This window comes from Homo sapiens, chromosome 18 (genome assembly GCF_000001405.40).
Source record: "Homo sapiens chromosome 18, GRCh38.p14 Primary Assembly".
In the NCBI taxonomy this organism is placed as follows: Eukaryota; Metazoa; Chordata; class Mammalia; order Primates; family Hominidae; genus Homo; species Homo sapiens.
In genome coordinates, this window is record NC_000018.10 from 245,956 (window position 1) to 267,492 (window position 21,537).

Below are 21,537 nucleotides of genomic sequence, written 5' to 3' on the forward strand. Positions count from 1 at the left end.
AAGATTAACAAGGAACTTTTAAACCCCTTACTTGCACCTAAATAATAATTATGAAATATTTTCATATACAAATTAAATCCTAACTTGACATTTAAAATATATAGACATGAAAGTAATTAAACTGCATTTATTCCAAAATTAGTTTACAAAACAGACTTAATGTAGAACTACTTTCACCTTTGAAACCAAATTAGTCCTACTTCTGAAAGGAAGAAATGGGACTTTCAAACTAACATTAATCAATCAGCTTTAACCCAAAGTAAAATAAGAAACATTTCTATTCAGTTTAACTTAGAAAGGCTGTCAGCTAAACGGAAATAAAACAAGACCATTTCTTATTATGCTTAATGAAAAAGAAAAACTTATACCTTTTCACTTGTTAAAAATTTTGCAAAATATACATGTTCTCCTCCTGTTTTCAATTCTTCCATCTTTTTTCTTGAGGCCTGAGTATCATCTAATTTATAACTCTTAAAAACAGCTAAAACTTCTTCAGAATACTGCAAAATAAAAATATTAGTTTTATTCGACATTGTTACCCAAATTTGTTTAGTGCTTTTCTGCATCAAAATGCCTAGAATTTACTCCCAGTCAATCATGTATGTAGACTGTATATTGCAAGGCACACTAACAATACAAATTATGATAGCAGAATGGGAGTTAAAACTATTTTGTATGATATTTCACTTGTTGCAAAAGTAGGTACAAGCTCCCTACTCCTAAAGAAATATAATTTCTTGGCCAGTGGTGGTGGCTCACGCCTGTAATCCCAGCACTTCGGGAGGCGGAGGGGGGCGGGTAACTTGAGATCAGGAGTTTGAGACCAGCCTGGCCAACATGGTGAAACCCCGTCTCGACTAAAAATACAAAAATTAGCCAGGTGTGGTGGCGGGCACCTGTAGTCCCAGCTACTCAGGAGACTGAGGCTGAAGAATCCCTTGAACCTGGGAGGCTCCGTCTCAAAAAAAAAAAAAAAAAAAACGAAGAAATATGATTTAAGAAGTCTGTGTAAGGGACAAATAGATTAGGGAACATTTTTAAGAGTGTACAGAAATTTACCAGTGAAATTGTTTAACCACCTGTGGAAACTCTTACGCATTTCTTGTGCTAAAAACTGAGCAAATAAATTCCACCAAATTCTGTCCAGTTAGAAGACAATTCCAGATTATTTCTCACTAACCACTTAATCTGAATTTGGATGGTGCTGCCCCCACAAAAAATTGCATATAAAACAAAAACTATTAAAAATAACATAACACACACCATGCTATTCTGAGAACTACCTATTTATCTTAGATTTTAATTATGACAAAAAAGGACAACTGATCTTTAAGTAGCCAAGAAAAATATAACAAATTCTTCTAAAACAGGATTGGCAAACTTTTTCTGTAAAGGACCAGAGAGTAAGTATTTCAGGCTTTGTGGCCTTTATAATCTCAGTTGCAACTACTCAGCTGTGCCATTATAGTGCAAAAACAGCCACAGGTAAGTGGATGGTCATGGTACTATTCCAATAAACCTTTGTTTATAAGCAGTAGGTTAGATCTGGCCCAGAGCCATGACTTGAGGACTTCTGTTTCAACAAGATAGCTAAAATAATTTTGTACAAAGATAGAATATATTCTGCAAAATATCAATTTATGTTAACAACACTCATTATATTCAAAAAAAGCAAGGCTGTAATGACGAACTTTTAAATATCCGATTCTTATATACTACTTCACAATATTAGTGGTTTAAATATTAATTTATAATTTCACTTGTTATGAAATTGGTATAAAAATGTAAGAGGCAGAATTACATAGTGAAAAGTATGTTAGACAAGATTAAGTTTTAGCTCTATCACTGTCTATAAAATACTGGGCTTCTGATAGTCTGTCAATGGCAACTTACCTTGAGAAAAGTTTTCCATGAAATCTTCTCATAGCATTGCACAGGGTTCCTGAAGTAATCCTGAAGTGACCAGAATTTTCGATACAGGTTGTAATCAATTGGAATAGAGCTAATAAAATAAACGTTATATTAAATAAATCATTCAAATTCTTTTACAAATATCTAAATATTCTTAACTTAGCTTTGGTCACAAACCGTTTTCAGAAGCTAATGAAAGTTATCAGAAAAGTACACATTCACAAATGCTTATATAAACTTTTACAAATCATTTTAGGGAACTCATAGACCCCAATAGACTCTTTATCTACACTGGTGGAGCCCCTGAATTTTGGAAGGACACATGGTTATTCAGAATTAAAGATTATGTTTCCCAACCAATCTTGCTGCTCGCATGGTCATGTGATTAAATTCTGGCCAATCAGTTGAGAGCGGAAGTCATATGTGCAACTTTTGGGCCATATTTTATCACTGGCCTTTTCCTCTTCCTGCTGGCTAGAATGCAGATGTGAGCGTGAGCCACCTTGCACTACAGGAAAAAGGGCAAACACCAAGATGATGGAAGAAGAAGGTAGAAGAAGCCTGGGTCTAGGCAATCTCACCGAGCAGTGCTCCCTTACCAGCCTTGGACTGCCTGCTTCTAGACTTCGATATGAGGGGGAAAAATCAACTTTTATGTTGTTTAAACCAATGTTAATCTGAATCTATGTTAAAAGTCACAGGTATCATATCCTAACTAAAAATATTATATCCTAAGAAGCACCAGTATGAGAAAAACATATATGGTACATATCAAGTTAGCATCACAAAAATAAGCCCTTTATCTAGTAACTTTATTATGGCACTACTAATTCAACTTCTAATCTTGATATGTCACAAATCTACAGTGTCAATACATATTCTTTTAATTTAAATTTTTTTTTTTAAAGGAGTCTCACTCTGTTGCCCAGACTGGAGGGCAGTGGTGCGATCTCAGCTCACTGCAAGCTCCGCCTCCCGGGTTCAAGCGATTCTCCTGCCTCAGCCTCCTGAGTAGCTGGGACTACAGGCACCCGCCACCATGCCCGGCTAATTTTTTGTATTTTTAGTAGAGACAGCATTTCACCGTGTTATCCAGGATGGTCTCGAGTTCCTGACTTCATGATCTGCCCACCTCAGCCTCCCAAAGTGCTGGGATTACAGGCGTGTACCACTGCACCCGGCCTATTCTTTTAATTTTTAAAACAGCTAATATCTGATAAACGGCTAGTATCTGAAGCACGTGAAAATCAACAGTGAAGAATACTGACTTTTAACTAACAAAAATCTAAATCTAGTTCTTGCCAAAGCTTTCATCATGAATTAGTAGTATCTGAAAGACTCTAATGGGCATGTTTACTTTCGCTCTTCCTAAACTTTTCCCTAGTAACAACTCTGAAAGTAGGAAAACAATGATGTACACATTAACTTCTCTCTATAATTAAAGCAGCTTCACTGATTTACAACAGTAAGATTATACCTCTGGGTTTTCTATGAATTGGGTTTTTAAAAAAAGCCACAGGCTGGGCACGGTGGCTCACACCTGTAATCCCAACACTTTGGGAGGCTGAGGCGGGCGGATCACGAGGTCAGTTCAAGACCAGCCTGACCAACATACTGAAACCCCATCTCTACTAAAAGTACAAAAATTACCCAGGCATTGTGGTGCGTGCTTGTAGTCCCAGCTACTCAGGAGGCTGAGGCAGGAGAATCGCTTGAGCCCAGGAGGCAGAGCTTGCAGTGAGCCGAGATCACAGCACTGCACTCCAGCCTGGGTGACAGAGCGAGACTCCGTCTCAAAAAAGAAAAAAAAAAAAGCCGCAAAAAGAACATTCCCTAAAACGTTAAAGTAAATAGAGAAAAGAAATAGCACTATATAAATTATTTACATTCATGAAAGAACAAGAACCAATATTTGTATAGTTCCATACATTTGATAAAGAATGTTTCTGAAGTGCATGTGCACACACACACTGAGTAACAAAATGTTACTCAGTTACAACATGTAAGATTGAATATAATAAATACCTCTTGAAATGTACCAGGAAAGTTTGTCTCTTAAAAATGGGGCTACCTCTAACAGAGAATGAGACTCATGCAACCATTATATGTCCCTTTTTGTCTCAATTGCTAAGAACTTCACATCTAATTTAACACTTAATACCAATCACAATATTATTCCATGTTGCTAATTACCATCTCCTACCTGTAAAAGACTTTTGATCTCTTCCCTTTTATCTTTAATTGGCTTGGTGGGTATTTGAGGTGTCTTACAGAATAAATTTTGAAGTAGTGTTAATATCTTACTGTTAGGCAGTTTTTACAGTTGAGGCATTAATATATTTTTAAAAATTTAAAGTCCCCTCTCCTAGATGCTGTCCCTTGCTCTTTTCCTTCACAGCTGAATAAAATTCTTCAAAGAGTTGTCTATACTCCATGTCACCACTTCATTACCTTCCTGTTCATTCTTCAACCCACTTGCAATTTGCCTTCCACCTTCAACACTCCACAGAAACTTTTGAATTTTCTGTTTACCCACACAAAGCAAATGTAACCAATTATTGTATTTGCAAATAATAACAAATCAGAGACCCAGTTACTATGTAAAATAGAATGTCTTGTAACTATTTTAACCAAAAAAACTCTGGAAAACTTGATATATTTTTTTAAATGTTCAGCTATTTTACAGGATGTTATACATTGAAATTTCTTAACAAAAATGTTTACTGGTGTATTTGAGCCAAATCTGAAATGGACTTCATATTGTAGGTAGATGGGTAATGAGTTCTGCTTTGTAAATTACAGTGCCTAAGACCATCTGGTGATAACAGCTGTCACAAAGTAATTCCTCACGTATTTTCTCCCTCTATTCAACATTAGTGACTGTGACAGAGGCAGCTGAGTGTTGAGTCTTATTTAAGTGATTTACAAACATAACCAATAGGGATGAATTGTCTATACAGTCTTAGGCAAAATCTAAGCAGACAAAACTGCACTGGCCAGTGTCTTTTGGGCTGTTTACACTTCAGGTGACTCATCATCTTGTAGCCTACTAACTTGCCCCAGAGCCCTTATGTTGCTCAGGCCAGACCTTAAAGCCTACTTTATTCATGTATAATGAATAAATAGGTCTCTAAAAAAAAATAATAACGATAACAAATAATAGCTACTAGACACTGAATAGACAATATTCTAAGTGCTTTACACTTACCACTACATATAAACAATTAGTGCCTTAATAGACTATTTCTGATCATCGTCTTATTTAATCCTCTTAACTGTAGAGAGTAGGTGGCATTACTACATTTTAAAGATGTGGAAACTGTGTTGTAGAAGGTTAAGTAATTGGCCCCAGGTCACATGACTAGGAAGTATTGGAGTTAAGCTTGGAGCCACACTACCTCTAATGTTTCTTCTGGAGATGTGTTTGAATTTGAATTCTGGGATGCCAGAAATACATCTCCCTGGGCAGATACAGGAATCCCATCTTGATTTTCTAGACAGTAATGGAAATTCTTTCAATTATAACTAATGACTCTCATCACCTCAGACACCTGGAAGAGTGCCAGTGAAGGAAAATTTTCCTTAATGCCTTCTCTTTTCTCTTGCTCATTGCTTCTAAGCCAGCACTAGGAAGAAATTATGGAAAGTCTTCAAATAACGATGTTTCCTTCAACATTGTTTTATTGTAACGTTGATGAGAAAAAAAAAATCGATTCCTGGCTGGGGCCACGGTCTATGTAGAGTTTGCACATTCTCCCTATGTCTGTGTGGGTTTTCTCTAGGTAGTCAGATTCCCTCCTGCATCCCAAAGAGGTGTACATGAAAATAACTGGCATGTCTAAATGGTTCCAGGATAAGTGAGTGTGGGTGGGTGGGTATACACACTGTGAGCAGATGGCGTCCTGTACAGGGTTGGTTCCCGCCCTGCGCTCTGAGCTGCTGTGACAGGCTCTGGCCACCCACAACCTTAAATTGGAATAACTAGGCAAATAATTATCTTACTTGTTTTTATTAATCTTTCTCAAATGCATGTATAGCTCACATTTATTCAATGTTTAATAACAGAAGCATTTTGATCTTTATCTAGGAGTTTGGTGATTGTTTTTGTGACCAGAAATAGGCCATAAGAACCTAACTTTTGTTTGTTAGCCTATGGGAAAATTGATTTCATCATACATCATTTCACTTAATGTTGCAGTTTCTAGAACCTATCTATGCCACTGAGGATTGCTTTTGGAAAGAAAGCACAGGGCTACAGAGGAGGAGATAAGAAACAGTTTTAAGAGCAAGGGGAGAGAAGGAGGAAAGGCTTCTTAACTTGCCTATTTCATTAAAAGTTAGCCCAATACACACAGGCACTGGGTCCACAAGTTTAATGGAAGGGATTAAGGGGAGGAGCTCCTAAGGCTGCCTGTGGTTGGCTTTTCAAATGCTGGGATTATGCATAGGGTAGTCTATATAAACAATGAACTGTCTGCACATAATATAGAAACCAGCAGATAAAGCCCATTAGTGATTTACGATTTATTAAGTAATATACATGAAAATTACAAATGAAAGAAATTTCTTATAATTTCTTTCCTCCTTGTCTATCTCCTCACTCCAGAGAGGATACTCAATAAATTAGGAGATTATCTCTGTAAATCAAAAAGCTTAGGCTCTGAAAACTCACCACGTTGTTGGAGCTTCCTCGTCTCCCATTTCGCCTTCTTCTACATCCATTCCTTCTTCTCTATCTTCAGTGTGCTAAATTGAAAAAAAAATGTATAGCCTGTCATGAAGCAGTCATCAGACAGAAGAGATAAATGCTAGAATAAGTGGTCAGTTACACATTCCTAGGCAACCCACAGTTAGAGAAGTCTAGTCACTAACTATCTAGACCTATAGTTAATCTGTAAGGCAATCAGAATTTTACCTGATGGACAGAAGAACTCAAGAGCAGTATGACAATGATATAACACAGTCATGAAGACAGTAGAAAGTTTCAAATCTACATTTCTAAACATAATCAATAGATTCCCTCTGGGAATAAAGGGCTAAATGTTTTGGAAATGCACAAGACAATTCAACAATAAAATGAGCAAACAGCATGAATAGCTAATTCACAGAAGAAAAATAAATTCCAACCAACATATAATAAGTTCCTCAACACCAATAATGATCAAGGAAATGAAATTAAAACTAAGAAGACTTATTTTTCAAATATATACATCAATTAAGCCAATATTTTTTAAAAATTGATAATTCACACTGTTGGGGTGAGGCTGTGGGGAAAAAGGGCAGGCATTCTCCATGTGCCACTGGTGGCTGTATAAATTGGTATAACCTTTTTGAGAAGTAACCAGGCAATAGCTATTGAAATATGGAATATGCATATATTTTAACCCAGTAATTTTACTTACTGGAATTTATCCTAAAAAGACATCTGCATAATTGATGCAGACGCTGCAGACTGATGCAATATTATACACTACTAGACACTGTAACATTGTTTTTCACTATCAGAGATAATCTGAATGTCCACAGGCAGAGAAATGTGATATATCCACTCTGAGATTTATCAAGAGCCATTTAAAAACTAAGATAAAACTAAATCTTAAAGGAAGAAAGTGAATTTCAGAATAGTATGAATGACCTCATTCTGGAGAAAAACAACATGTTTGTACATATACACAAAAAGTCCTGGTATGGTGAGACAGAGAATGTTATGAGTGGTTATAGAAATAATATGAATTTATAGAAAAAATACATATTCTGCAAAAAATAACCCAATGTTTAAAACAGAAAGTACATCTATTCTATAATCTACCTTATGATTAACACTATTAAAACAGAAAGTATAGCTACTTTGTTAATCCACTTTAATAGAAAGCTATGCCATAATCTACCATGGTCTACCTTGGATTACAGAATAACTGTACATTCTATCTTAAACACTGGTTGAATTTTTTACATACAAAACATTATTTCTGTAAGTTGGAAATAAAGTTAAAAGTTTTTAAATTTTTGATGACTTGTAGGCCCATTTACATGAAATTTTTTTTTTTTTTTTTTTTTTAAATGAGACAGGTTCTCACTCTGTCGCCCAGGCTGGAGTACAGTGGCATGATCAAGGCTCACTGCAGCTTGACCTCCCTGGGCTGAGGCGATTCTCCCACCTCAGCCTCTCGAGTAGCTGGGACCACAGGCGTGCACCACCATGCCCTGCTAATTTTTGTACTTTTTTGTAGGAATGAGGATTTGCCATGTTGTCCAGGCTGGTCTTGAACTCCTAGGCTCAAGCGATCTGCCCACCTCAGCCTCCCAAAGTGCTAGGATTACAAGTGTGAGCCACTGTGCCTGGACCCACTATCTTAATAACAAACTTGCAAATATGTTATCTGAGAAGATTTCAAATCAGCCTCACCTTCTGACCCAGGGTGCTTTCCTGCTCATTTGTATTGAAAACAGTGACATTTTCCAGATTAAACTGACTCTGCAAGTTAAGACCTAGTAAAAAAACAAAAAAAAGATGCAAAGCAAGTCCAGTGACACCTAAACTTATGTATAACTTGTGTCATAATCAAAACTACAAAATGCCAAATCCATAAAGAGCAGTCAAAATTAACACATTTGATTTTCAAATCCTTTCAAAAATTCATTTCTTAAAAGTACCTTTGGAGTATGGGCATACCTTGTTTTGTTGTTCTTCACAGTTTCTTGTTTTTTTAAATAAATTGAATGGCAACCCTGCATCGTGCAAGTCTATCAGCACCATTTTTCCAACAGCATATGCTCACTTCCTCTGTCACATTTTGGTAATTCTCACAATATTTCAAACTTTTTCATTATTATTATATCTGTTATGATGATCTGTGATCAGTGATCTTTGAGGTTAACATTGTCATTGTTTTGCCACAGATTTGTTTTTGCCACAAACTGTGCCCATCTAAGATCTAAGACAGTAAACTATTTTTTTTTTTTTTTGAGACAGCGACTCACTCCTGTCACCCAGGCTGCAGTGCAGTGGCATGATCATGGCTCACTGCAAGTTCAGCTTCCCAAGCTCAGATGATCCTCCCACCTCAGCCTCCTGAGTAGCTGGGACTACAGGCAAGCACCACCATGCCTGGCTAAATTTTTTTGTATTTTTAGTAGAGACGGGCTTTTGCCATGTTGCCTAAGCTAGTAAGATAGCAAATTCAATCAATAAATGCTGTGTGTGTTCTGACTGCTTCACCGACCAACCGTTCCCATGACTCTCTCTCTCTCCTTGGGCCTCCTTATTCCCTGAGACGAGACAATATTGAATTTAGGCCAACTAATAATCCTGCAATGGATTCTAAGTGTCAAGTAAAAGGATGAGTCTCACATTTCTCACTTTAAATAAAAACCTATACATGATTAAGCTTAGTAATTAAGGCATGTCAAAAGCCACGACAGGCTGAAAGTTCTCTTGCGCTTAACAGTTAGCCAAGTTGTGAATGCAAAGATAAAGTTCTTGAGGGAAGTTAAAAGTGCCACTCCAGTGAATACATGAATGATAAGAAAGCAAAACAGCCTTACTGCTGATACAGAGAAAGTCTGAGTGGTCTGGATAGACAAGCAAACCAGCCAGAGAAAGGCTTTAACTCTCTTATTAATTCTGTGAAGGCTGAGACAGGTGAGGACACCACAGAAGACAAGTACGAAGCTAGCAGAAGTTGGTTTACGAGGTTTAAAGAAAAAAGCCCTCTCCGTAACATAATAGTGCAAGGTGAAGCAGCAACTACCAATGGAGAAGTTGCAGTAAGTTATCAGAAGATCTAGCTAAGAATATTGATGAAGGTGGCTACACTCAACAGATTTTTCAATGCAGATGAAACATTCTGATATTGGAAGATGCTGTTTAGGACTTTCATAGCTAGAGAGAAGTCACTGCTTGCCTTCAAGGGACAGGCTGACTCTCTTGTTAGGAGCTAATGCAGCTGGTGACTTTAAGTTGAAGCCAATGTTCATTTACCATTCTGAAAATCCTGGGGCTCCTGAGAATTATGCTAAATCTACTCTGCCTTGGCTCCATCCATAAAAAGACAAACCCTGATGACAGCACATCTGTTTATAGCATGGTTTACTGACAATTTTAAGGCCACTGTTGAGACTTAACTGCTCAGAAAAAAAGATTTCCTTTCACAATATTATTGCTTATTCACAATGCACCTGGTCACCCAACAGCTCTGATGGAGATGGGCAAGGAAATTAATGTTGTTTTCATGCCTGCTAATACATCATCCATTTTGCAGCCAAAGGATCAAAGGGTTATTTCAGCTTTCAAGTCTTATTATCTAAGAAATACATTTCATGAGGCTATAGCTACATAGTGATTTTTTTATGGATCTGAGCAAAGTAAATGGAACTCCTTCTGGAAAGGACCTACAAATCTAGATGCCATAAAGAACACTTGTGATTCATCAAAGGAGGTAAAAATATTCACATTAACAGGAGTTTGGAAGAGGTTGATTCCAACCCTCATAGATGACTTCGAGGGGTTCAAGACTTCAGTGGAGGAAGTAACTGCAGATCTACGTAGTAGAAATGGCAAGAGAACTACAATTAGAAGTGGAGCCTGAAGATATGACAGAATTGCTGCAATCTCATGATTGGACTTGAAACAGATGAGGAGTTGCTTCTTACGAATGAGCAAAGAAAGTGGTTTCTCGAGATGAATTCTACTCCTGGTGAAGATGCTGCGAACACTGTTGAATGACAACAAAGGATTTATTTTATTTCTGAGACAGAGTTTCACTCCTGTTGCCCAGGCTGAAGTGCAATGGTGCGATCTCGGCTTATTTTTTATTTTTTTTCTGAGACAGAGTTTAGAATATTACATAAACTTAGTTGATAAAGTAGCGGCAGGGTTTGAGAGGACTGACCCTAACTTTGAAAGTTCTACTGTGGATAAGATGCTACCAAACAGCATCATGTGCTACAGAGAAATCTTTCGTGAAAGGAAGAGTCAATTGATGTGGCAAACTTCACTGTGCTATTTGAAGAAAATTGTCATAGCCAGCCCAACCTTCAGCAACCACCACCCTGGATCAGTCAGCAGCCATCAACATCAAGGTAAGACCCCCACCAGCAAAAAGATGACGACTTGCAAAAGGCTTTGGTGGTCATTACCAGTTTTTAGCAGTATTCTAGAAGTACGGTATGTACATTTTTTTAGATGCTATTGCATACTTAATAGACTACAGCATAGTGTAAACATAACTTTTATACGCACTGGGAAACCAAAAAATGTTGGTTGAATGAATATTGCTTTATTGCAATATTCACTGTATTGTGGTGGTCTGGAACAAAACCCACGGTATGTCTGTAAACAGAATTCTATATACATTATAATAGAGTTGATCCTTATTATTCATGACTATTCCAGAACAATTCCACAGAATGCAATATAGAATAATTTATAATTCTGTTGGAAGCACAAATGTAAATTATATTAATGAAAAAGTGATAATGTATAACAAATAAGTAAATACATTATAGTTAATGAGAGCCAAGTTTCTTACTGTTAGAGAAAGAGGTTAATAAACAGATCTACTGGTGCTGGATTCAACTCAGAGGTATCAGTAGAATCTCATATTTTTTGCTGCTGTTCATGTAAAATATATACTGACAGATACAGAAACAAATACAGATGAGTATGGTTAGTATACACATATGTCTCTCCTAGCTCTGGTCTCTGAGAGGGCCTAGAAGTAGTGATACTCCAGTAGCAATGAGCACATCTTCTCAAACGTAACAGCCAATGATAACCAGACACACAAAGAGGCAAGATACCATGAGTGAGAAACAGTCAAAACAGACAGGAGAAACAGACCCACCAAGACTTATTTAAGGTATTGGCATTACCAGATACAGACAATAAAGTAACAATGTTTACCAAGTTTAGAAAACTAAAAAAAACAATTCTTAAGAAATTATTCAGAATCAGGTAGAGAGAGACAAACAGATGAAAAAATATATAAGGAGTAAAAAACAGAGGATACAGTGAGAAGGTATAATGGATGTTTAATTGAAGTTCCAGAAAAAGAAAAAGATAAAGAGGCATACACAATATTTGAAGAGATAATGGCTAAATTTTTACAAACTAGATGGAAGAATCTAATCCATACATTCAAGATGTCCACAATCCTAAGCAGGACAAATAAAAAGAAATTTACACAGAGATACATCATAGTAAAACTAAAAGAAAACCAAAGGAGAAAAAAAATCTTAAGCGCAGAGAAAAAAATGTAGATTATCTTCAAGAAGTGAGACTGACATCTGACTTGTCAATAGAAAAATGGGAAACAGAAGACAAAGTAAAGATTATTTCCCGTGAGATGAAATCCTGTATCTAGTGCCAATCTAGAATCTTATACCTATTGGGAGGAGGTCAAAATACCAATATTAACAGGAGTTTGGAAGAAAGAAAGGAAAAAAAATAAAGGAGAAGTAACGATTTTTAGGCAAAACACAGACCTGCACTGAAGAAAAGTCTAAAAGGGAAAATGATCACAGACAGAAAGCCAGAAATACAAGAAGTGGTAAATCTATATTAACCCTGACCACATAAAATAAGTATGAAAGAAAACAGCACAGACATAAGATGACAAAAAGAAAGCACATAAACCACTGCTAACATATGCTATAGGTCTTTCTACATGCAGGCACTAATGTAAGCTCTTCACATGTTTTAATTCATTTAATCCTCAGAACATATAAAGTAGGTGGTACATTAGCCCAATATTAAGGAAGGGAGGACTGAAGCAAGGAGATATTAAAATCTCGCATATTTGAACATACTGGGGAGGCGGAAGGCTCTGGAGGACAAGCAATGTCCCATTTCAGGAGCTAGATAGTGGTTATACAGTATTTGTTTCATTATTATTCGCTTTATGTACTTTTCTATATGAGCGTTATATTTCACAATAAAAATTTGTTAAAAAAAGAGAAATGAAAGGAAGTCTATATAGCTAAATAGTTGTGACTGAGAGAAAATCCAAACACAAAAATAGGCATACATTATGAAATACGGATATGATGGTTCATATCTACATGTTTCAGTGTGATTCAACTTTACATTAATAAGCTTTGAACTTAAAAGAATCCATGACTTTGTTTCAGGATTACCTGTATTATATACTAGGACTGCTATACATTTATAAGTAAAAGAAAATAAAGTGACAATTTCTATGATGTCTTTCAACTTTTTAGAACCATTTTTCTCATTATCATGACAGATTTTAATCTATTAAAAACTGGAAAAGATTTTCCTGCAGAAAACTCATTTAATGCATAAAAGCTTACCTGATTTCTCAGACAGAGGGAAAAGCCTGGCCAAAAAGAGCTGAATCCGTCCACAGAAGACTGTATTCTGGGATTTAGACAATCTTCTTAGGAGATCTAACAATATATGAAAATGAACGTTACACAGAAAAGATAATTCTATGTTTATTACAACCACACCTAAAAGTTTCTAAACCAGTGTGTCAAGAGTATTTTCCTAAAGCAGTAGTTCTTAAATTGGGGGCCGAAACCACTGCCACAAAAAAGTACTATAAATTAGGAACAAAACAAGTTCAACATGACATGAAAAAGACAAACTTTACTACGTTTCTGACTTTAAGCTTATGCCCAGAACAAAAACAGTTTAAAGTGAATAATGAGTTCTAACAAATCAGATTGTTAGTTAAAAATGCAGATACCTAATCTATCTTTAAAATGTTATCACTGGTATTTAATTCAACCATGTGTTTTTCTGGGCATATTTACACTTAAAAAGCAATCATTTTATCACTCAATTACTTACCATTGCACATACGTAGTAAGTAATTTTTCCCAGCAGAATAGAATGTATTCTGAAATTAAGACGGAAATTATCACTCTTCTTCAGAACTTGTTACACATTCTTCAATAATAAGTTGCCAGAGTGAAATATTAAAGAACACTAACATGCACTGAGAATCTACTATGCCACTTTCACTTTTTTTAAGCAAATAACATTTTCAATGAAATAAAAATATTTTCAGATATAAGAAAACATGATACTAAGTAACTGTTTTAAACATGTGAAAGTGTGAATTTTCAAGTTAATTTTTATTACACAAATTAAATCAAATTTTGTATTTCAAGTTTTTCTCCACACATGGTTTTTATTTGGCTCTCCCGAGAGAGCAGTATATAATTTTTTCATAGGCAGAAACTTGTTGGCATTCAGCAATACTACAAATAAATTTAAAAAAAAAAATCTACCCTCAGAATTCTGGATCTATAGAAAGATAAAGTTAGCAGGAAAAGAAACTAAGGCACTTACTGATTTCCAAGTAGCAACATTTTTTTCCACAAAAGTGAATATTGTGTCACACTGATCCAAAGGAAGACAATCCAAAACATCTCCCAACAATACAAAAGGTGTAGATGCGGTACAAATACCTTCAAGTGGAGCACAAGCCAATTTAAAAGTTTAAAAAACTGTAGAGTAGAATAGCCTATGAAAAATAATTCTGAAGAATATCTTAAAAGGTACACTTTGTTACTCATAACAAGGTTTTAAAAGGACAAGAAGTGGAAGCAACCTAAAAGTCCCCAAATAGGACATACTTAAGTAATTTTTGATATGTGCACTCAGTAATGATGACAATAATTCTTGACAAGATCTAGAGCATTTACTATATGTCAGGCACACTAAGTACTTTACATATACTAACACATTTAATCCTTACAATCCTATGAGGTAGAGCATATCATTATTTGCATTTTATAGAATGGGAAAACTGAGACACAGAGAGGTTAAATAACTTCACCAAGATCATAGAGCCAGTAAGTGGTAGAGCTGGGATACGAACCCAGGCAGTCTGGCTCCACAGTCTGTTTTCTTCACCACTAAGCTATTCAAAAGAATATAATGCAGCCAATTAAAAATGATGGTTATAACGACTATAATAACTTGGAAAAATGCTTATGATATAATGCTAAGTGAAAAAAGGCAGGATTCAAAATTGTATGTACATATGGTTATGACAATAAAAAAAATTCTTAAAAGACTATAGAAACTAAAACCATTATACCAGATGAATGGTAGCTTTTAAAAGTAGAGGAATTAAGAGTACTGTTTTCCCTTCTTATTTCTAAATGTTTTGTAATGTTGCTAAATTGTCTTTGTGATTTGAAAAGATTATCTTCAAAAAATAACAAGGTTTGATATTAACTATGATTCAACATTTAAAATAACAGTATTGTTTCAGGGGAAAGAATGGAAAAGTAGAAAGTTACTGTTTAAAGAACAACAAAATTAAGATTTTTCTTAAGAAAAGGTCTACGTAGTCTATCTAGACTACTTAGAATACTTTTATATCCCTACTCATTCTTCCTTCTATTTTAAGGCAATGAGTACTTACTAACACTCATAAGTGTTTAAGAAAAGTAGTCACTTAGGCATGGTATATGGAGGAAAAATATCTAGGGTGATCTAAGCCCAAAACAGTGCATTAATATACTATGTCCAGAAAAAAGGAAGAAATATTTCCAGCTGTACTCTGCACTAGTAAGATCATATCTGGAATGCGACGTGAGGGATATTGCCTAGAAGCAGTGGGTGAAATAAAACAGCAGATTTCAACTCAATACAAGGGAACACACCAATAACCACATTTGTCTAACAGGACTCAAACAGTGAGCTCCACTAATGAGCATGATTCAGCAGAGGCTGAATGACCACCCACCAGGGATGTTACAGCAGAGAAGCAGTCTAGGCCAGAGATGAGACTGGACTAGGTGACCTCTAAAGTCCCTAACAATACTTAGATTCAATGATATTATATACCCTGCACATCCAAGAGATTTGAGAAGCATATTTTCTGCCCTTAGTTGCAGTATAGCCTGGAATAAGTTAACTCACATTTAATAATTATAGAACTTTTTCTAGATTCTACTGCCAAAATTCTGAGTCAGTAGAACTAAGCAAGGTTTGGGAATCTCATCTAAAAATAGATTCACTGGTGGTTCTGATGAGCCAGCAAGTCTGGGAACCATTGGGTTATAGTGTGATTCCCCCAAGAGCTTTCACAACCTGTGTCCCAGCTTCCACACCAATCTCTCTCCTTACCCTTACCTGGGCCACAGACATCCCTTTCTAGTTCCCACTCCCCAGTTCCCAAACACCATGCCATGTTCATCCTTCCATGGTTTTGTTCACAATGTTGTTTTCTGCATACTCTTCCTCCTCTTTACCACATGGTAAATTTCAACTCCATCTTTCTAAGCATAGAGTGAATGTCAGCTCATCTAAATAACTCTGATATCCTGAAGCAGGCTACTTCATCTATGCTTTTGAAGCACACTCTACATAAATATACTGTAGCATTTAGCACATCCTAACTAGTCACCTTTGAATGTAGACTATGAGCTTTTTAAGGTTAGGCATTTTTGTATGCTTTAACCAGTAGCATCTCACACTGAATAGAAGCTCAATAAATATCGGCCAAATTGAATTTAACAAAATATATTTATGGATAATTTAAAAACATGTCACATAACCAATTATAGTCTGTCTCAAAAAGAAAAATTATCCCTAAAATAAAAATGCACTATGCCTTTACAGTTTAAGCTCTTAAGTCCTTATCCTTCTCAAAAGTTCCAAGTATAGACTAGACTTTGTACAACTTCTTCATTAAAAACATCACCAGCTGTGCAAGAATAATGTATAAAGGTAATCAATGAACTCAGGACACACTGAACACTGTTTGACTGAAACTAGACAAGGAATATTACATTGTGGGACTCAGCTAACTATGCCTAATGAATGAATGATTAGGCAGCTTGTATAAACATTTAACAAAGTGAATTTATGAACTTAAGTTCATAAAATAGTTTGCCCCTATACTGGGAGGTGTGTGCCAGTTTTTATAGAAGCATCAAAATAACACATAATGTGAATAATGCTTTACAGATTAAAAAGGAGTTTTCACATATATTATTTGAATTAATCAAATGAGTATTTTAACCAAATTGGTTAAAGAAGAATGCTGATAAACTAATTTTTTATTTCTTCTTTCTGCATATATTTAACGAGCTCCTATTTTGTGTTAGGCTCTGTGTACTATGTGCATTGTTTACCCGAAGTCTTCTAAAGCTATCACACACAGCCATTTTAACAGGCTCCTGCCCAGTTTTCCTGCCAGCAGTCACTTCAAATGGAATCATTCATCTGCAGCTGCTCTTTTTTTTTGAGATGGAGTCTTGCTCTGTTGCCCAGGCTGGAGTGCAGTGGCTCGAGCTCAGCTCACTGCAAGCTCCGCCTCCCGGGTTCACACCATTCTCCTGCCTCGGCCTCCTGAGTAGCTGGGACTACAGGCGCCCGACACCGCGCCCGGCTAATTTTTTTATTTTTAGTAGAGACGGGGTTTCATCGTGTTAGCCAGGATGGTCTCGATCTCCTGACCTCATGATCCGCCCGTCTCAGCCTCCCAAAGTGCTGGGATTACAGGCGTGAGCCACCGCGCCCGGCCTGCAGCTGCTCTTTAGTATGGCACCCAGTGCCCTTTATAAATGGACCTAACCTGCTTCTTTCCTCATCATTCTCATTGTCCTCTCCTCCTCCTGCTGTACACAATTCTCTAGCTATTCCTTTCTTAGTATGTCTAACAAATTCTTCATACCTCACATTCTAGTTCTCATGTTCTTTTCTAAAACCTCTCCTGACTCCTTTAGACTGAAGTTTAGAGAGCCATGTTGGCTCTATTCCCTCTAACTACACTTCATTCCCACTTCGACCATAGTACTTACACCATAGTAAGGCATGCATACATCTGTTTCTTCCATTAGCTCCACATAAGCAGGGGAATATGTTTTATTCACCATTGAATCTCCAGGTCCTAGCTCAGTACCAGGCACATAGTAGATGCTCAATGAAAATTTACTGAATGAACAAAACAACTGGAGAACAAAGGAAGTGCCAAAATGTGCACTGCATAATAGAGATGAGAAATAAGAGTGAACTAATTCAACTGGGACTTCTTGGCAAAGTTGGGAGTCAGGCAGAACTTGAAGAATAAACAAAATCAGATAGGTGGAGAAGTATGGGGAGAAGACGTTTTAAATAAAGCATGTCATGTCCAAGATTACTTTAAACAAAACAAAACGGAACCATACTTACCTTCAGTTACTCCCCCAATAGCAAGAGAAATAATAGCTAAAACGTTTTCACATGATGAATGATTTATCTACCAACAGAGGAGAAACAATTTAATTTAGGGGCAAGAGTTCAGACTAAACTCGATTAACAGTAAAAACATGTACTCTGATATTAAATTGACTATCAGAAATATGGAATACAATATTTCTTATAGAAAACAATATTTTCTAATATGAAGTTACCAAAATTTAACAGTAACATATAGAATCAATAGTCGTAGAAGTATGTCAAGTAACAGGCAACTCACTCAAAATCCAATGGTCTCAAGAAAATGGTTATATTAGCAAGATGAAGGCTATAAGCTAATCAAGGACAGAAGTGCTGAAGCCATAACTCAGCCAGTGGCACAGGGCAAAGGCAGGGCTATGAGAATTAACTACTAATACACCCATGTGTCTGAGGGGTGGTTTTAATAGAAGGAAGACAGTGCTTAGGTTCTATAAAATCATAATAACCAGCATTTACTGAGTGTTCATTAAGTGCTGTTTTACACACAACAACACTGAAAGAACGGTATTTCCCCTCTCACAAAAGAAACTGAAGCACAGAAAAGGAAAAGAACTTGCCCAATGCCTCACAATGGAAAAGTGACTAAGTCTGAAGAAAAGGAAAGAATCATTTTTTAATCAGACTTGTCTGAGAGAAAGGGACATTGTACTATGGCCAATAGAAGGGAATCTAGCTTTTGGGGACCCAACCTTTGCTTGACCAAGAATAAACTGTTGAAACTTTTCCTTTCATTCAGGTGCCCCATTATTGGTAAACAAATTCAGATTTTTCATGGTTAGACTTCTCTACCGAAGTTGGAGAGCCCTCAGTTATTTATGTAAGTTTACTGATGAGGAGGATGCCAGAGGAAAATGAGGGAATGGAATCCCAGCTCCTAAGCTAAATATTCTTGGACTAGACCTTTTGCGCCACTACAGGATGTATCACTGCTTATACAGGAAAGTGAGAGAGCCCACCTTCACCTCTAGTTCTTCCTAAGACCTCATGTCAACTTTTCTTATCTCACTTGGAGAGGGCTCTTGTCATTTATTAAACCAAACCCTTAAAATGTACCTGTGCTATCAAAATCCTTAGAGAAATCGTATAGTCATCAAGTCAACTTTTACAAAGCAGAAAGGTTACTCTAAAAAAAGATGTTTAAATATCCATTCTAAGAAAAAAAGCAATTTTTAAATAACATGGTTTATTAATTTGTCAGTAAAATTTTAACAATGGAAAAACATACTTACAATTTCTTCTTCTAGAATACCTCTGAAAGCTTGGTCAAGGGTACATTTTTTTTCATTTTCACTATTAAAAACAAAAGACATCCTCATTTTTCAAACAGCTCAGGGTATGTATAAAGATTGAGGCAAGTATTTTTCATAGATATCAATGCCTTACCTGCCAGGTACCTGGCTGAAGGTACTTAACAATGGCTTGATGTTTTTGTTGTTCAAGGCCTCTCTGGTAGACTTCTAAAAAAAAATTAAAATGGCAAATAATTGTAAAGATTTTGCTTATTATTTGCTGAAAAATATATCGTTCATTGATAGTGTATCTTACTAACTAAAAAATGCTTATACCTGGGAAAAATTACCTATCAGTCATTCTCTCAGTAATCCTTATTCCAATGCTACTTCATGATACGGATCCTCATCACTTTAAATCTGGCAAGAGCTTCCTTGCTGGACTTTTTCATTCTAGGTGATATTTCTGTCTCTTTAAATATCACATTCATGAGTATTGTGCTTACAAAAAAAAAAAATCTCCATATGGCTCCTTATTTGCCCGTTTTAGTTTTGAAGCTTCATAGATCCCTCAAGGTCCTTGATAATGTTATCCCAATTTACCCAAACTTAATTCCCAATACTCCCTAACACATACTTTGCACTAAAGTCTAGCCATTTTTCATCACTTTATATCAAACTCATTCTACTGTATTCACACATTCATGTTGCTCTTCCTACCTGCTCATCCAAATTCTATCCATTCTCCCACACCCATGTCAGGTCTCGCCTCCTGGAGGTATCTTGTTCAGTCCCTGACACGTAGCACTCAATAAAACCATGCTGACAATCTGTAGATTGTTTTAAAGTAATCATAACTTAAAGACAAAAATATTGCAAAAGGCATTCATTCTATGAACACTCACATACACTTAGAAAGTCATCTTATTACCTCACAGGAATTAGATCTATCCTAAATGTGTCCATTCCTTGCTCTGCCACTAACAGGCTGAGTAATTTGGGGCCTGTTCCTTTATCTCTTTGTGCTTCATTTTCGTCACCAGTTAAATAAGAGGGTTTTTGTAGATTTTTACTACCAGCAGCAGCTACAGTGGCATCACCTAGGAAGCTGGTAGAAATGCAAAATCTCAGGCTCCCTTCCACACTTACTGAACAAGAATCTGCATTTCACAAGAAGCTTGAGAAACACTGAACTAGATGATCTCCAATTTCATGGTCCTTTTCAGGGCTAGTATGATTTTTTTTTTTTTTTTTGAGATGGAGTCTCCCTCTGTTGCCCAGGTGTTGTGCACTGGCATGATCTTGGCTCACTGCAACCTCCGCTGTCCGGGTTCAAGCGATTCTCCTGCCTCAGCCTCCCAAGTAGATGGGATTACAGCGCCCACCACCACGCCTGGCTAATTTTCGTATTTTTAGTAGAGACGGGGCTTTGCCATGTTGGCCAGGCTGGCCTTGAACTCTTGACCTCAGGTGATCCGCCCGCCTCGGCCTCCCGAAGTACTGCATTTACAGGCGTGAGCCACTGCGCCCGGCCGCCAATATGATCTTGGATAGTCCTAACAGTTACTCTTAGCAGGCTTTCAAAGCACCAGAGATTGCAGCAAAACGCACACAAAGAAAATGATTATGATGACATACACAAAATATAATCCATTTAAAAAAAACCTCACACTGTGTGTGTGTGTATATATATATTATACGTATACGTATATATATGTATATATATATATATATAACCCTGCAAACAAGAAAACTACTTACTACAAAGGATGAATTTTTCTTTCACACAATTTTCATCCTGGCATCCCTATAACTACCAAAACACAGCCGAATATCTGAGAAATGTTGGTGCAAATGCTAGAGACGAATAGAGTCAGGCAACTTAAAAGTGTTCTTCATACTTACGTTGCTGTGACGAGCAACATAAAAAGAACAGAGTGTCTAAAGTCAGAAAAACCACTGAAGTCACAACTTTTTGGGGGGTGTCAGCTTCTACCTCATGTACCAGGAATAACCAACTTAGCCTACTTCACAGTGTTACTCTAATAGTTAAATGAGAAAGTGATCTGTCAAGTGTTTCCCAAATGCTCAAAACCACCCTTCCACATTGAGCAAGAATAAAATAGCATCTGGTTACCCTTCCCAAGGTGATCTATCTGCCTTTTCCCGCTTAGGATCTCATCGATCGCT

At 36.6% G+C, this 21,537-nt stretch overlaps 1 protein-coding gene across 4 annotated transcripts in view; it reads right to left on the reverse strand.

Annotated features, from left to right (window-relative positions):
- The window catches only part of THOC1 (THO complex subunit 1), a 53,528-nt gene that overhangs the window by 31,436 nt on the left and 555 nt on the right, over window positions 1-21,537 (reverse strand). For 3 of the 4 annotated variants that reach the window (NM_005131.3, XM_011525772.4, XM_017026104.2), the window contains exons 2-11: window positions 19,502-19,575; window positions 19,348-19,408; window positions 18,071-18,137; window positions 14,231-14,349; window positions 13,727-13,775; window positions 13,225-13,320; window positions 8,318-8,400; window positions 6,584-6,657; window positions 1,894-2,002; window positions 369-500 (exon numbers count right to left, since the gene is read on the reverse strand). In NM_005131.3, coding sequence (NP_005122.2) covers window positions 369-500; window positions 1,894-2,002; window positions 6,584-6,657; window positions 8,318-8,400; window positions 13,225-13,320; window positions 13,727-13,775; window positions 14,231-14,349; window positions 18,071-18,137; window positions 19,348-19,408; window positions 19,502-19,575 — 864 coding nt within the window. Of the gene's footprint in view, window positions 1-368; window positions 501-1,893; window positions 2,003-6,583; window positions 6,658-8,317; window positions 8,401-13,224; window positions 13,321-13,726; window positions 13,776-14,230; window positions 14,350-14,762; window positions 15,166-18,070; window positions 18,138-19,347; window positions 19,409-19,501; window positions 19,576-21,537 lie in introns of those variants that run through there. The other variant, XM_047437972.1, reaches the window with a different exon arrangement.